Genomic DNA, 18,028 nt, shown 5'->3' with positions numbered 1-18,028 from the left:
GGTAAAATGATGATGACGTGGTCCTCAGGTGTTGTAGTGGCAATGGAAAGAAGTGTTCAGATTTCAGGAAGCCTTACTTATGTCTTCAGGTCAGAGTGAACCCTCCTGCCAGTATCCTCAGAGCACCCTGGCATCTTCCTATCTTAGCACGTACCATAATTAAAGAGAACTAATTTATTTAGATACCTGTCTATCTCCTCCATTACCTTGCAAGCTCCTCAGGGGCAGAGGCCACAATTTGTGGCACATAGTAGGCATGTGCTGTCCTGGATAAAACTTAAATTGTGTGTGTATGTTCATCTATTTTACTTCTAGTTTAGTTTAATGCAACTACATTAAAACTACTTACATTAAATCTTATTCTACTACATTGTGGTTGGATTTTTTGTTATATTAGTAAAGGTGTTAAAATATACTCTTCTGACATATTGACTATTTGAGTTAAAGGCACTTGAAAAACAGCAGGGGCAAGAAGATCACTTTGACTTCCCTGCTGTTTCTTAAAATCAGAAGGTGAAACTCCCATATGAAAGACACTCCCTGTACTAGAAAGTCAACAACATCTTTATCTTCAAGGATGAGAAATTGAGACCAAGAGAATTTTGTACAGACTTTGGCATCCCCACATAATTTAGTCACATTTTTATAGGTTACTATTCTTTGCTCAATCCAATATTTAAGTAACTGACTCTACTTCTTTGGGTCTTCATTTTTTCATGTCTCCCATGTCCCATAATATTTGTTGAGTAAATTTGTATTATTTTTTTCCTGTTAATCTAATGTCAATTTAATCCTCAGACTCAACCAAGACCCTAGGAGGATGGAGCGGAGTTTTTCTACCCCTATAGTAGCTATGTTAGCTGCTGCATTAAAATTTGGAATATTCTGGCATAGATAAAATTATGGATTGAACTGGAAGATAACTGAATGAATGGCTACATAGGGATTAAGTAGGTTTCTGCTTCCTAACTGCAAAAGATATCTATGGCGCCCCTTTGTAGAAATTTTCAACATGGATCAAAATTTATGAAGCTATAACATTCTCCAAATAGTAAAATACTCATATGATAATTATAAGGATTTAAAAAAATGGATATATATGAAATATGTTTTCATATATATTATGTCCTATTATTAAATAGGTTAAAATATATGTGTATATTATATAAACATACATATTTATATGAAATAGGTAAAATGGAAGATAAATTTGAGTTTATATAATGGTACATTGATCCAAACACAAACTTGCTCATTTTCTCTGACTACCAGGTAAAAATAGCTTCTCCTTTTATGAGAAGTTCAGAATCCCCAAAGACCTTCAAGTAAATGAGGTATCTTCCAATAAAATGAAACCTACTGTAACTGTAAACATCCTTCACATACCCTGCCTAGAGGGTAAATATTAAAACAACAACTCTGTCTTGAATCAGAAAATCAAAGAGTGTGCTATGTCATTGACTCATCACTCAAGTTGTGACAGTTTCCAGATGGTGAAAACAACGTCTCAGATCGGGGATGGGGGTGGGGTGGGCGGGAACAAGCCAGAAATACACCGACCGGTAGGAAGACAGAGACAACAATTACTCCCTGACCAGCCTCTTTCCCCATTGCTCTAGAGAGAAGCACAAAGCATGAAGCTACTTCAAAATTGTATTGTGCTAGGCTAGGAAAAAAGAAACTCTTAAGTTTCCTTTCGCAGGTGATAATCTCATGTTGGCAGAAAAACTTTCTACTTCCAAATTATTTTTCTTCTGTAGCACTGTATTAAGGTCAAGGGAAATAGTGGTATTAAGGAAAAGAAAAAGGTGAATGAATCTCAGTTCTGCTATATGCTATTGACTGTGAGAGCACCATTTCCTCATGCCTTACAGTAGGTATAGTAATACCTAGCTCGACAAAGTTACGGTGACGATTAAGGCAAAGTTATTGTGAACAGTCCATGGTGTCATGGATTCATGAGAATACTTAGCACAAAGTAAGAACCCCACTGAGGCTGGTTCCTATTTCCCCTGCTGATTCCCTCGTTTGTATTTCTTTGCTAAATCACATATGATTTTCAGTGTACTAGAGTTGTATGTTTTGTTAGGCCAGGTAAAAAAAATCTTAATTCCTAAGACCATCAAAGAACTTAAAAAGTCAGGGGAGGAAGGAGCTACACGAGTTACTAGTAACTACTGTGCCCTGCTGCTCCCTTCCCCTCCAACAGCTGACATTTCAGTCTGGGCTACCACAGACAACCAAATGATTGTTTCAAGTGTGCCTCAAGGCTGGTTGTCATATAAATGAATGTCGTTAATGATCAGGTGACTAAATGAGGCAAAGAACAAAATTCTTCCCTTCTGCCTGCAAAGCTACTTACAGAGATATGTTTTACTGGTAGCAGATCAATATACAGACAACACTTCAGAGGTCATTTATTCCCGACTTTACAAATGGATCACCGTGACCTAGAAAAAAAGAGGGGACTTGCTCAAGTTCACATTAATAGCAAAATCCAGATCAGAACCTCAGTCTCTCTCTCTCTCTCTTTCTCTCTGATGCAGTCTCGTTCTGTCACCCAGGCTGGAGTGCAATGGCACCATCTTGGATCACTGCAACCTCCACCTCCTGGGTTCAAGCGATTCTCTTGCCTCAACCTCCTGAGCAGCTGGGACTATAAGCATGCGCCACCACACCTGGCTAGCTAATTTTTGTATTTTTAGTAGAGATGGGGTTTTACCATGTTGGCCAGGCTGGTCTTGAACTGACCTCAGGTGATCTGCCTGCCTCGGCCTCCCACAGTGCTGAGATTACAGGCATGAGCCACCGTGCCCGGCCAGTCTCCTGATTTCTAATCCAACATCACTTCTAGATGTGAGGCTGCTTGTAATCAATAGCAACAGTAGCAGCATAATACTAAAAATAATGCTAATCTTAACACTATACTAATACTAATGCTGCAATTTTTTGATCTCTTACTATGTTTCAGGCACGATGCTAGGCACCTTACATACAATCTTTATGATATCTATCTAGTAAAGCATTTATAATGCCTAATGCTTTACTCTTCAGAAGGTTGACTCATTACTTCTGAGGCCCACCTCCCTCAAAAGAGGATGAAACAACAAAACTCAGCGCACATACAATATGTAACCGTATCTGATGCTATTCCACTATGGTGATGGAAAAGGATAATCAAATCAAGTTACCAATTAGCTAACCTTCTCTTCTTCATGAAATTTCCTGAGTTATGGTCATGAAAATGAACTGTTTTTCATTCCAAGTCTACCATTTGGTGAAAGAATGTAACAAGCCATTACATGGGCAAAAGCCCGTCTATCAGGCCCCATCATCAAACCGGCCCCATTCATAATGTCATGGTAAATGGCTTGAAGGGGAAGGAAAGTAAAATGCATAACCTTTTCTACTTTTTCTTCTTTCTATTCAATAGTCCAAGCACTGTTTACATGAGCCAAATTTAACACACACACTTGTTTTCCTTTTTGTGCAGCTGACGAGGCTGCCTGGAATTTTCTCTAATTTCATTGGTAAGCATTTGCTGTCCTATGGTTCCTCTTTAATTTCACCCAAGTACAGGAACTTTCTTTTCTTGCTCAAATTCAGGAGACTTCCGAATTTTTGTTCCTTTTTTTTTTTTTTTAAATTCAATGTGTTTTCTCCTTTCCCTCTTTATGGCTTTTTTTTTTTCTTAACTTCCTTTATTCTTTTCTCTCTTCTTTTCCTATTTTTTCTGGAATGTTGTTTCTGTCAATTCTGTTTGTCTTTATTTCCATTTTAGATACATCCCATTTGACATAATAGACTCCTGAAATGTTGTGCGTAAACAAATCAGAGTTGAAATGAATTTATCCCACCCCAACCCCTCAATCATCTGTACTGAGAACTATTTTATCCTATAGATTGAACAAGCATTTCTCCAATATAACAGTAAAAAGAAAGAAAGAAACAAGATACGAATGGAGTCTTGGAGAAACAAGACACTTTCAAATAAACTACATGACCTCTTTTCTTTCTTTGAATAGCTCCCATAAGCCTAAAACTTTCATGGCAAGTGTTCAATAAAGCTTCGGAAACTCCAGCCTTCTCTGATTCACTCTCTGTATCCTGCTAGGCCTATCGATAAAATAAGCTGTCTTCTATTGGGAAGGATGATGTGCTGGAAAGAGGCCCCGGGCACCATCCTTGGTTCCTCCATTTCTGCCTCTGTCACCATGGCAGGTAACTTCATACTTCAAAGCCTCCTTTCCTTATTTTAAAAATAGCAATTGACCTTTATTGAGAAAACTAAACCTCTTTCACTAACTTTTCTTCCTTAGTGTATTGGAAAGGTTTTTTCTTTGACATCCTCAATCTGGAAGTCTCTGTTTGTGGACAATGGCAGGAGGTTTATCTTTGGATCTTGGGTATTGCAAAGTCCTGGCCAAGTTTTGCTTCACCTTGTAAGCAACCACTGAGTATTTTCATAAAGTACTACAAGGCATTAACATATTAAGATAATTGCATTGTTTTGAGAATTTTCTAAGAATTTCACAATTATCTTAAGATAATTGGAGGCACACTTGGGAGGGGAATTAAAAAACTAAGGGTAGTGATCACCATGCCACAATGTTTCCCCAGGTTTCTCATATAAATTAAGAATTCAGCTGAAGTCTCTACACTAACAACCCTCCATCTCAGTATCTCCTGATATTTTACTTAATGTGTTGCTTTTCCTGCATATCATTGCAAAATAGAGGTTAATTAAGATTCTAATTTTAACAATCTTTTGTAGGCATTTACTTAGTAGTTTATCACTGTGCAAAGCATATAATTTAGTTGTTAATATTTGGTCAAATACATAAAGTAATGATTAGTATCCTATTCTACAGATAGAAAAATCTGTAAGTTGACCAAGATAACCCAGAAAAACCACACATAAATCCAGAATTGGATTCGAATTACATTCTATGCTTCCCTTCTCCATGAGCACCTGAGAAATAAAAATCCAAGCTTGATGCTCTGTTAGTCTAACTGCTTTCCCTCTTCTATCGGTTTAAATTCTGCAGGAACAGGCTTACCCCTCTCATTTATTCTCAGCATGCCTCAGGGCTCCCATGTTAAACCCACAAAGCTACTACCTCCAAGAGGCATTGAACCATGTTTACGCTCATCACCTCAGTCCAAGCTCCCAGAAGAGCCTCCTGAGCAACTGTAGTAGTAATGAAAAGAGCAGTGGATCCGCCCAGGACACCTAAGTCTTGGCTCGGATAATTCCAGCTATATGGCCTGTGACAAATCACTTGACCACTCAGCCTAAGTTCCTTCATCTGTAAAAAGGGAATACAAACAGCACCTACTGGACGGACGTGGTGACTCACACCTGTAATCCTAGCACTTTGGGAGGCTGAGGCGGGCAGATCACGAGGTCAAGAGATCGAGACCATCCTAACCAACATGGTGAAACTCCGTCTGTACTAAAAATACAAAAATTAGCTGGGCATACTGGTGTGCGCCTGTAATCCCAGCTATTTGGGAGGCTGAGGCAGGAGAATCACCTGAACCCGGGAGGCAGAGGTTGCAGTGAGCCAAGATCGCACCACTGCACTCCAGCCTGGCGACAGCAAGACTCCGTCTCAAAAACAAAAAACAAACAAACAAAAAACCAGCACCTATCTCACAGGATTGTTGGGAGGGTTAAATGACAAGCTGTTAGCAGAGTACCTGGTATATAGCAAGAGCTCAATCAATGTTACCTGCTATTATTATAAGAAAAAAGGCAGTATTACTTCTTTTCAGTGACACTACGAGAATTAAGTTAGATGGCCTTGCTTTTGACTCCTCTCTTTGCCCATTCATCTGATTTAACACTGAAAGACTGATTTGATTAAAACTAGATTCCATACCTCCTAACTTCATGCCACCTATCATTTAAGACATATTAAGTATTCTCAAAATTTTCCCAAACAATTTTGACTTCGTAGGTCATGAACTGGGCCTTACATTTCTTTATATTCACTAAGTCTAAGTCCAGCAAATGCACTGACCATAATGTACATGTTCAATACTTATTTGGAAAACAAAAACAAAAACAAACCACTGTTACACTAGCGAAGAACACTAGAAACTTCCAAGGGCAAAGGAAATTGTATAAGACTTCCTTTGGGATTTGGCTTTTTTTTTTTTTTTTTTTTTTTTTGAGATGAAGTTTCATTCTTGTCGCCCAGGCTGGAGTGCAGTGGCGTGATCTCTGCTCACTGCAACCTCTGCCTCCCGGGTTCAATCGATTCTCCTGTCTCAACCTCCCGAGTAGCTGGGATTACCATGCCACATGGTGTGTGCCACCATGCCCCGCTAATTTTTGTGTTTTCAGTAGAGACAGGGTTTCGCCATGTTGGTCAGGCTAGTCTCAAACTCCTGACCTCAGGTGATCCCCCCACCTCGGCCTCCCAAAGTGCTGGGATTACAGGTATGAGACACCGTGTCCCGCCATTCTGCACAAATTTATTTGTAGGAGTTGACAGCAGTGCTGTGAGCGTAATTACAAAGATGACAAATAATTTGGTAGAGAACAAAGCAGGTGCAGCAATACAAAAATAAGTCCACAACTGAGAAATGATGCCCAATACCTACTGTACTTGGCGGATTCTTCTACCTTAAAAATTACATGTGTGCTTTCGAATTTTTTTTCACACTAAAACTCATTCTAATACAGAAAAGATTCCGTTTGTCAAAGTTTGGGAATTTATCAGCCTATGTAATGAACATGACATTCAAGAGGCATGACATATGGAAAAGAGCATATTGCAAACTTTTCTGGAGGCTGTTGTGCCTAACAGATAGTGTAATGTATTGAGGATTTCACATTAAAATAGGGAAGGAAAGTGTTAGCTCTTAGCCACTAAGGTCCTTTTAGTTATGTGTTGGACAGAGAAATAGGGCACTGTACCATTCCTATTAATGGAAAATGAGAATCCAACGTTTGTTTGTTCAAGTGGAGGTGGTTATAAGGTTCTGAGCCAGAGAGGTGGAAACAGAAGGAACACAGTTTTGAGCCAGAAACCTGTAACTCTCTAACTGTGTGAAACATGTAAGTTTCCACATCTGTAAAATGGGAATACTAATAACAATTTCACCATGTTTTTAAGGAATTAGATAATATATATCCAAAAACCAAATACATAGTAGGTGCTCAACAAAGATGTTCATCTACACAGAGCACACACATAGCAGATTATAACAATTATCTAGAGTTTTAAAAATGGGGAAAAAAGGACTAATTTAGCTTTATTCTTTATATATATATGTGTATGTGTGTGTGTGTATATATATATATATGTATATGTATGTATGTATTTATTTTTAAGACAGAGTCTCGCTCTGTTGCCCAGGTTGGAGTGCAGTGGCCCCATCTTGGCTCACTGTAACCTCTGTCTCCCGGGTTCAAGCAATTCTCCTGCCTCAGTCTCCCGAGTAGCTGGGATTACAGGTGTGCGTCATCATGCCCAGCTAATTTTCGTATTTTTAATAGAGACAGGGTTTCACCATGTTGGCCAGGCTGGTCTTGAACTCCTGACCTCAAGTGATCTGCCCACCTTGGCCTCCCAAAATGCTGGGATTACAGGCGTGAGCCACCGTGCCGGGACCCTGTTCTTAGACAAGGTCTATTTGTATGCTTTTAGGTTACTATTTGTAAGACCTGGATCTAATGGTACAGATACATAATCCCGTACAATGCTGACACTGATATTTAGTGTGTCCTAGGGAGATGAGGAGGGCCTCATAGTTCACAAAGGAAGGGGCATTTCACAGAAGAGAAAACTGAGGCTGGCCAATTTGCTTGCACCAGAGCATCTTGCTAGTAACTGGCCAGGCAGGGACTCGGGGTCAGTCCAGAGGCCACAGGAAAGACTGCTGAGACAAGGTTAGTTCACCCTCATCCGGGACTACGGAAGGCCCCCCCCAATATCTTACTCACATTTGATACATTTTCAAGCAACGGGAGCCACGTCTGTGGGCCTGAACCAAGGCTGGACCCTCAGGGGTGCCCTCTGCCCTTTTCCAGTCGCCGTCCCCTCCCTTCCGTTTGAGCCCACCACTCTGTGCCCCGGCCCAGAGAGTACCTTGGAGGCTCAGTCCGCGCGCTCCCTCCCCTCCATCCAGCCAAACCACCACCCAGTACCTCCAAGTGAACATCTGTGCCCAGGGCGTTAGGACTGTGATGAAGAGAAGCCATTTCGGATCGTATTGGAAGACTTTAAAAATATATATATACATATATATATATAAAGAGAGAAGCCGTCGCCGAAGCCCCCTCGGGAGACGCGAGACACGGAATCCCGGGCACGCAGACACCCCGCTGGTCCGGGATCCTGGGGCTCTCTCTGTCCCCGACCCCGAGTCACTGGTCACTCACCACGTGTCGCCTGCCAGCGGGCGCGGTCCCGGGCCTGCGGGGACCGGGTGGCCCCGGTGCTCTGGGCCGCACGTGTCGCGCTCTCCGCGCTCTCTGCCGGCGCTCGGGCGTTCCCGGTGCCAGCGCCCGCCCTCCCGCCTCCGCCTCCCGCCTCTGCGCCACCAACTCCGGGGTGGGCGCGGGGAGCTGGCGGCGAGTGAGGATCGGGCCGGGGCGGGGGTCGGGGCTGGGCGGTGGCCGCAGGGCGGAGAGGACTCGCTTCTCAGTTCAGCTCTGGAAGCGCAGCCGGGCGGGCGCCCGTGGTTTCCACCCCGCGGGTCGAAGCGGGCTCGGGTGGGATTCTGCCACCTGTGGGCTCTGCTGTGTCGCCTTGAGCAAGATAATTCTCTCTCCACCGTCAGTTTCCCCTCATATAAAATGCGGATAATAAAGCCTGTCTCATAAGACGGAGCAAGGGTTGACCGAGGTGAGGTGCGTTTATGCACCAAGATATGATAGGCGCGATAAAATCGTGTGCTCAGCGTTCACAGCCATAGAGACGTGGCACTTTGTTGACAGCCATCAGGGAACTTTCCTCGCAGATGTCCTTTCTCTGTGCTCTGCACCGCCCAGCTCTTACCACACCTGAGCGCCGAGGCCTCCCAAGTGGGCTGTGCACAAGACCGCCCACTGGAGTGCGGGCAGAACATACTGGAACTTCCATTTGTATTTGCTGTCTAAAAAATGAGAAAAAAGTTAAACTTGAACAGATGGCGTGTCACCACTCCCGTATAGGTCCCGTGTTATAAGTGGTGTTCTCAGGCAAGAGGGAAAACTGCCCAGAGTACAGAGGGGTCGGCAGCTCTGCATAATATTCATGACATAATATTTATGACAATATTACTTAGAAAAAAACTGTATTTAAACCTGTAAAGACAGACTCTCACTCTGTTACCCAGGCTGGTCTCAAACTTCTGGCCTCAAGCAATCCTCCCGCCTTGGCTTCCCAAAGTGCAGGGAATACAGGCCTGAGCCTCTGCACCCGTCAGCTTAGATTTCTTTAAATCTAAGACTTCCTTAATTATAAGATATACCATTATTTATGCGCTAGTAAGAAATAAAAAGAACTGCCAGGTAAACAATAACAATGCTTTCTCAACATTTAGAATCTTTTAAACTAAAATTTTATTTAGTTTAGAGATTTTATTTAGATATCTCTAAATAAAATTTAGATTTTAAACATATGTATATTATCTATCGAATTTTTTTTTAAGTCCCCCCCCCTCCCCCACCCCGTTGTCTCTGGAGTTTTCTTCTAGTCCACTGAGCCCAGTACAGGTTTGCTGAGCCCGCAGAAGTGGACAACTGCATACCACGCTTCTGGGCATTACCTTAAAACCGCTCTCAATGTTTGAGATGTTAAATATGAAAAATGTACATCTTGGAATCAACAATGTACAGTAGATTGTCTTTATGGGATTGTGACATACTGTAGTTTACATGCTTTAGTAATTTATCTACATGAATAATTTTACTAAAATCTTTTAAATCGTAGAATCTAGAATCTTAATATTACTTTGTAATGAGATGATACATAATTGTAGAAATCATTTGTAACAAAGATTTTAAAAGTTGTCTTAAAGTGAGTTATTTTCTTTATTTTTACAAAAAAACCCCAAATATCCTAAATTTGCTGATCTTTTCTGTATTGATATATGGCTCTCAGTACATGTTATCTAATAGATCTTTTTGAAGAACAAAAAACCCCAGAGGTTTATTTGTTGTTTCTTCAAGGTAATTTTCACACCAAGTGATACGTTGTTATGAAGAGACGATTTGAAAACAAATATTTCGAAGTGTTCCCATTATTGTGTGTTTTTCTTACTGAAGATTTTATGATTGTCATCACAGAAAATGCTTTTAAAAACTCGGAAACAATTTGCTATTTTGTTTCAATCTTTTAATTGAGCAGTTCAGTGGATTTTAAATCCATTTGTTAAAAAATATAAAAATGCAGCAGCTTCTCATTACTTTAAAAACTGATTGATATCAAGAATAAGATTATGATAGCCAAATGTTATAACAATCTTGCATAATTCATGGATTTTTCAACACTTTTTAGTGAGAAGGAAGGCTTTTAGTTTTGTTAATAAATCAATAATTTCAAAAATGCATTTTACTCTATCTCATTTAAAAATTTAATTTATATATTTGTGTGTGCATATGTGTGTGTGTGTATATACACACATATAAATATACATATGTTTTTCTGTTTTTTTTTTTTTGAAACAGCGTCTCACTCTGTTGCCCCGGCTAGAGTACAGTGGCACAATTTCAGCTCACTGCAACCTCCACCTCCCGGGTTCAAGTGATTCTCCTGCCTCAGCCTCCTGAGTAGCTGGGACTACAGGCACGCGCCACCATGCCCGGCTAATTTTTGTATTTATAGTAGAGATGGGGTTTCACCATATTGGCCAGGCTGGTCTCAAACTCCTGACCTCGTGATCTGCCCACCTCAGCCTCCCAAAGTGCTGGGATTACAGGCGTGAGCCACCGCGCCCGGCATACATATGTTTTTCAAGGAAATAAAAAAACAACCAAACATATGTTGGGGATGTTTCTCAAAAATGCTTTTTTTTTTTTTCTGAAGGAGTATACCATCTAAAATGTTGAAAGACCACTGCTCTATTAACTTCTAATGGCAGCATCTTACAAAATTGCAGAAGTCAGACACAAAATGGTGTCTCAAATGCATCTAAGGCATATTCTTTGAGGGAACAGATGAGAGCTGTTGAGGAAAGAACTTGAATCTGGTTGTTAAGCAAGCACAACAAATTATGAGAATACAGTAAGATGCAGGTAGCAATGATAATCTTCTTTATTCTCTTCTTTTCCCTAGATGCAAGAAAAAAAAAGTCAGAAGATGACAACTCTTACATAAGTATTATTTGAGAAATTATCATGCTCTAGGTCCATCAGTATATTGTTTAACTTAGACTTACATTATCAAGTGAAGACTTGCACTGATTGCCATTGATAACAGTGGTTCTCTTATCCTGCATGCTCCCTGGATTATAAACTCTATGCACGCAAGGATCCCTCATCTTCAGCATCTGGCACACTGAGTGGTACAGGGCAGGTAGTCAATAAGTATTTACTGAGTTGAACTGACTTGTTCTGGAGAGATCCCATTCTTTTTGGCCAGTTCAACGGGATTGTAGGTGTTGTTCAATCTTCACACTTTTCGACAGTTAAAAATTAGTTGGAAAATTAAATATAATTTTTCTTAGCAAGTCGGTAACCTTTCTGTATGAAATCACCATCTGTAGAGGCCTTTCTATTTCCCCACTTCTTTTTTCTGCCTTCTCCTCCTATTAATATCTGGGAGTTTCACTAATACAGGCATGGCTTTTGTCAGTGGTTGCCTGTCTAGTTAGAGAAAAAAACAAAAACAAAAATAACAATGAAAACAAAAATAACAACAAAGACAAACTTGCTTCTGTGCTTTCTAAAGAATAAACCCTAGATGGTAGACGATGCCTGATGAAGCAAGAGCCTAATATACAACCCAAAATGTCAACTGTGATTGTTAATGTAATCATTTTTAAGTCTATGGGTATGATATGGTCTTCTGTGTAGCTGTTAGGTAAATGAATGTACTTGTAAATCAAAAGCTCAATTAAGTGGATAACCACAGTGACAGTGACAAAGTCTTTTCTAGGAAATACTAGTTCAGTTTCCATTTCTGGTATAGTTCCATTACTTTAAATGTCTAATTTGGTTCATTGCTGATACCAAACACCCTGAAAATACGTAATCACACTATTCTATGAATAACTGAGATGTGCTTTTCCTAAAGTGTCACTTGTCAGGATAAATACTAGGAGGTGGTTGCTAACATAGTCATTTAGGGCATCAAATGAATGCTGGCACTCGTTAAACTTGGTAAGACGGTTTTAACATCATTTTAAACTTTTACTTATAATGAGAAAACTCAGAATCTAAGATTAACTGTTCAACCTTAACTGCTTCATTTTGTAAAAGTTTCATTTCTAAAAGTTATTACTTTGTTAGTTTTACTCATCTCTCCAAAGTATTAAACTTATAGGACAGCAACATAACTCCTGAATATATTTGTAGTGTTATGTATTGAAAAAGTTTATATAAAATTAAAATAGTGCAATACCAGATTCTCAGATTATGAATAATCTCCATAATTCTTAAAATGTAGACTTATACCTTCTCCACAACTGACATTTAACAAGCACAAACATTGTTTATAGAGGAACAAACTGGCCAGGCTCAGTGGCTCATACATATAATCTCAGCATTTTGGGAGGCTGAAGCAGGTGGATCACCTGAGGTCAGGAGTTCAAGACCAGCCTGGCCAAAATGGAGAAATCCCATCTCTGTTGAACATACAAAACTTAGCCAGGCATGGTGGCACTCACCTGTAATCCCAGCTACTCAGGAGGCTGAGGCAGGAGAATGGCTTGAACCCGGGAGTCAGAGGTTGCAGTGAGCCAAGATGGCACCATTGCACTCCAGCCTGGGCAACAGAGCAAGACTCTGTCCAAAAAAAAAAAAAAAAAAGATGAACAAACCACATGGAAATTGCCATGTCTTGGAGAGCAGCAGTGCGTTTTTGAGAGGTCTTTAGATTGCTGGATGCCTTGTTAAATGAACATAAAGGTTAAAGAGTAAAGTGAGACATGAGGTAAATTTAAAGCTGTGATAGCTGCAGGGTCCTACACAACATAAACTTTATTCACAAACTGGCTCTGCTATTCTTAGCAGCTAAATCTAAACATATGTTACAGGATTCACAGATTCCATCATGTCATGGCTGGTTACCTGATCATCAGAGCCAGAACTTTTGGTGGTGCAAAACTTTGGCAAGTTCTTATAAAAAGGAGAGTGATTTGCATAAAAGGCAAATTTCTCACAAACATTCCCACATAAAACCACACATATGTTCCTCATTTTTGTTGTCGTTGTTGTTTGTTTGTTTTTGGTTTGTTGTAGAGTACATCAACAGAAGCCCTATGAGAAGTACTCTGAAATGTGGATGTATAATCATTAAGATTCTTTTCTACATTCCACTCTTCTGGCTTCAAATGTCCTTTTTTTCCATGCTTCTCATACATAGAAAATACTCTGATTTCCCAAATGAGACAACCCAAAGTCCTGTCCAGTCATGGCATCCAGCTGAGATCCAAGCTCTCTGAAAAATGAGCAGTGGTGGCTACCTAGTGAGATATGCCTCCTCTGGGTCCACAGCCTATAAACAAACAAGTAAAAAACCCAGGTTACCTGCACCTCCCACCTCGCCCTGCCCCGCTCCAAGGATATAAAATGGTGGAACAGGGACAATGAATGCTCAGCTTAGGAAACAGAGAAGCATGTGACACACCAGAAGTCACTGGTCCAAAGTACCACTGTCTTCAGTGGTGAATGCATTAGTTTTTTTATTTTGGCCTGTAGGACCTCTGCTAAAGAGGCAGGAAGAATCTCAATTAAGTATCCTTTTCTACAAATCAAACACTGCAGAGTAGTATCAAATGTTAATAATATTTCCTTTCCCCTCCAGTCTCTCCTTCCCAAATAATAGTTTTACGAGAATCTTTCCACATTTTTCTTCATGCCTTTATAGACGTATAAAAGCGTTTTAGGTTTTTCTTTTATATTTAAGCCATACAGAAAATATATTCTAGGTTTAAACAAATTGAGCTATTCTATTTCCCTATCTGTCCATCCATCTATCTTTCGTTTTCCTTTTACCACATGACACAAACTTCATTCCATAATGCACGTAGTAGCGCTCTCATTTTTTTTCTTTTTTCCTCTCTCTCTTTTTTTTTTTTTTTTTTTTTTTTTAGACAGAGTCTCACTCTGTTGCCCAGGCTGGAGTGCAGTGGCACGATCTCAGCTCACTGCAGCCTCCGCCTCCTGGGTTCAAATGATTCTCCTGCCTCAGCTCTCAAGTAGCTGGGACTACAGGCATGTGCCACCACACCCTGCTAATTTTTGTATTTTGTATTTTTAGTAGAGCCTCGGCCTCCCAAAAGTGCTGGGATTACAGGCATGAGCCACCGTGCCTGGCCTCATTTTTTTTTTCAATAGCTACAAGTATTCCATACCATGCATGTACTAAGATTTAGTCAACCATTCTCTTATTTACAGGTCTTCAGGTTTCTAATTCCCACCTGCCCCCTTGTCTCCCCCAAAATGCAGCATATTCACCAAAATAAAAATATTCTTACACATATACTTGTACAAATATATGGTGCTTTTATTTGTGGGTAACATAATCTCACATGTAGCTTGTTGAATCAAAGGATATGAGCTTTTTCTCTTTAATGGATTATGCCACATTACTATCCAAATTATAGTAATTCATACTTCCACTAGCATGCCACATTATCACTAATAGTGAATGCTATAAATCTTCTGTAATTATCAATCTATCAATCTAACATGTAAAAAATGATATTTCATTGCCTTACACTGTGTATCTTTGACTGCAAACATCTTCTCATATGTCTGATAGTTTAAAAATATGTATTATTATTCATCTATCACAGTCTACCTTCAAATAGTAGGCCAGTTTATGTATAATACAAAAACTTTACAACAGTATGCTTCTATCCTTATATCTTTTGTACTATTTGATTGTACATTTTACTTTCATTTATGTTTTAAGCCCCATGATACATTATTACTATTTTTGCTTTACTTAGTTATCTTTTAAAAAATTAAAAAATATAAAACCCAAAATTTTCTATATTTCCTCATATATTTACAATTGCAAGTGCTATTTATTCCTTTGTATAGATCAAAGTTTCCAGCCGGTATCATTTCCCTTCAGCCTAAAGAACTTATTTTAATATTTCCTATAGGACAGGTCTGCTCTTGACAAACTTTCTTAGCTTTTGTGTTCTTAAAAATTGTTTTATTTTGCCTTCATTTTTGAAGAATTTTTTTTACTGTATGTAAAATTCTAGGTTTACTTCTCCTCCTCCCAGCATATTAAACATATTATTTCATAGTTTTCTGGCTTGCATCGTTTCTGTTGAGAAGTCAGTGTTAAGTCTAATCTTGCATTCCTGTAATTTTTTTTCTCTTAATGCCTTTCAGATCTCCTTATAATGGACTTTCAACTATTATATTATGATGTGCCTTGGTGTGGTTTCCTTTGTGTTTATTCTGCTTAGTATTTATTGAGCTTCTTGGATCTGTGGTTTTGTAGTTTTTGCCAAATTTGGAAAACTTTTCAGATTTATTTCTTCAGTTGTTTCTTCTGCCTACCATCGCTAGATTCTAATTACACAATTTTGGTGTGTTTGATACTGTGCTACAGGTCACTGAGGCTCTATTCACTTTTTTTTCAGTCCTTTTTTTCTCTGCTTCAGTTTGCTGATTGCTATATCTCCAAGTTCATTGCTTTTTCTTCTGCAGTGTCAAATCTGTGAAATCCATCCAATTAGTTTTTTACATAAGTAAGATATTAAAGTATTTTTCAGCTCTGGAAATTCCATTTATTTTTTATAGTTTCAGTTTCTCTTATTATTAGTTTTTCTCTTTAAATCCTTGAGATTTTTATAATAGTTGTAAAATCCTTGTCTGCTATTTCTGTTATCTCTGTTGTTTCTGGGTCTGTTTCTATTGCTGACTTTTCTCCTAGTTATGAGTCTTATTATTTGTGCTTCTTTGCCCATCTAGTAGCTTTTTTCTACTGAACCCTTGAGATTGTGAATGTTGCATGACCTGCAAAGCCTAAGATATTTGTTATCTGGCCCTTTAAAGAAAAGTTGCCGCGCCCTGCCCTAGATGTACAGAATTGGGTTGAGTAAAATTGTCAGTATACGGAGTTCACAGTACGCAATTGTCTTTTTAAATCCACATCCCCTTTTAATTTTTTGTTTTATCTTATTTTCTTTTCCCTTCATTTATCATTCATCTCAATGCTATTCTTCTTTCTACTCCATTGACACTCTTATTTATAAATATCTTCCCAATTCACATCCCTTGTGTTTATTTACATACATATGGATCTGTGATAAAATACATTGCTATATGCTTTAAAATTTTAAATAAATGGTAGTATGTTATAGATTTAATACTGCTTTTAAGTTTTTTCTCCATCAACATTATGTTTTTATAGTCAATCCATGTTGCTACAAGTAGCTTCATTCTTTCAGCCTGCTGCATAGCATTCCATCACCAGCATAAGCCACATTTACATGGCCATGCTCATATTGATGGGCTTCTAGGTTGCCTCCAATTCCTTGCTACCACAAATAATACCTTGATAAAAGAACATCCTAATGTATGTCCCTTGTGTGCATATCTGGGTGTTTCTATGAGGTGTGTATCCAGAAACAGAAGTGCTGGGTCATAAGAGATGCACCCACTCAATTGTACTAAGTACTACCACATTGCTCTCCAAAATTGGCTGTGCCAGTTGGCATTCATATGAGTACCACATAAAAATATGTTTGCCCACATCCTTTCCAGAATTTTGTCTTATCCAACTTTATTTGTTTCCTGTTGCTTTGCAACAAATTACTACAAACTTACTGGCTTATGGCCGGGTGCAGCGGCTCACGCCTGTAATTCCAGCACTTTGGGAGGCCGAGGTGGGCGGATCACGAGGTCAGGAGATCGAGGCCATCCTGGCTAACATGGTGAAACCCCGTCTCTACTAAAAATACAAAAAATTAGCTGGGCGTGGTGGTGGGCACCTGTAGTCCCAGCTACTTGGGAGGCTGAGGCAGGAGAATGGTGTGAACCCAGGAGGCGGAGCTTGCAGTGAGCCAAGATCGCGCCACTGCACTCTAGCCTGGGTGACAGAGCGAGACTCCATCTCAAAACAAACAAACAAACAAAAAAACAAAAAAACTTACTGGCTTACAACAATACAAACTTTTACAGTTCTGAAGGTCTGAAGTTTGAAATGGGTATGGTTGAGCTAAAAACCAACGTGTTGGCAGGGCTGCATTCTCTTCTGGTGCCTCTAGGAGAGAATTCTTTTTCTTGCCTTTCCTAGCTGCTACAGCTACTGGCACTCTGGCTTATGATGGCTTCCTTCCATTTGCAAACACAGCAATAGCCAGTCAAATCCTTCTCACCTCCTATTACTCTAACACTCTTTCTTCTCACTCCTTCTTCCATAGTACAAGAATGCTTGTGACTACATTGGGCTCACCTGAATAACCTCTCAATCTTGAAGTCAACTCACTAACAACCTTAATCCCATCTGCAGCCTTAATTCTCTTTTGTCATGTAACCTAACATATTCACAGACTCTGGGGATTAGGATGTAGATCTCTTTGGGAGGTCATTTTTTTTCTGCCTGCCACATGAACTTTCTAATTTTTGCCAATCTGTAAAGCATCTCAGTGAAGCTAAAATGCACAAAGAACTCCTGTACATTGATAAAGAAAAGAAAATGAATAGGAAATAAGTAATTGATAAAAATAGACAATTCATAGGCGGAGAAACCTGAAAGGCTAATAAATATATGAAAAGATGTTCAACTTCACTATTAATAATAGAAATACACATTAAAACTATACCGAGACCATTTTTGCAATAGTTTCACAGTTGTGCAACCATCACTACAATGAATTTTCTTTCCTTATTTGAGATGGA

The 18,028-nt window shown here is 39.4% G+C and overlaps 1 protein-coding gene across 19 annotated transcripts in view, besides 3 other annotated features; it reads right to left on the bottom strand.

Annotated features, from left to right (window-relative positions):
* Positions 1 to 8,999, bottom strand: part of IL12RB2 (interleukin 12 receptor subunit beta 2) — a 91,361-nt gene extending 82,362 nt beyond the window's left edge. For 11 of the 19 annotated variants that reach the window (NR_047584.1, NR_047583.1, XM_017001203.2 and 8 more), the window contains exon 1: positions 8,396 to 8,999. The gene's annotated coding sequence lies outside the window, so the exon portion shown is untranslated. Of the gene's footprint in view, positions 1 to 2,362; positions 2,451 to 8,161; positions 8,223 to 8,395 lie in introns of those variants that run through there. The other 8 variants (XM_011541384.3, XM_006710617.3, XM_005270827.3 and 5 more) reach the window with 4 other exon arrangements.
* Positions 8,438 to 8,627: a silencer, noted in NCBI's record as "silent region_979". NCBI's record gives its function as "represses an Ori minimal core promoter by ATAC-STARR-seq in GM12878 lymphoblastoid cells {active_cell/tissue: GM12878}" and the evidence as "EXISTENCE:reporter gene assay evidence [ECO:0000049][PMID:35858748]".
* Positions 9,088 to 9,137: an enhancer, noted in NCBI's record as "active region_1174". NCBI's record gives its function as "activates an Ori minimal core promoter by ATAC-STARR-seq in GM12878 lymphoblastoid cells {active_cell/tissue: GM12878}" and the evidence as "EXISTENCE:reporter gene assay evidence [ECO:0000049][PMID:35858748]".
* Positions 9,168 to 9,267: an enhancer, noted in NCBI's record as "active region_1173". NCBI's record gives its function as "activates an Ori minimal core promoter by ATAC-STARR-seq in GM12878 lymphoblastoid cells {active_cell/tissue: GM12878}" and the evidence as "EXISTENCE:reporter gene assay evidence [ECO:0000049][PMID:35858748]".

The sequence above is a fragment of the Homo sapiens genome, chromosome 1, assembly GCF_000001405.40.
Source record: "Homo sapiens chromosome 1, GRCh38.p14 Primary Assembly".
Taxonomy (NCBI): Eukaryota; Metazoa; Chordata; class Mammalia; order Primates; family Hominidae; genus Homo; species Homo sapiens.
Note: the sequence above shows the minus strand (reverse complement) of the source record. Positions and strands in the feature narration are given on the sequence as shown.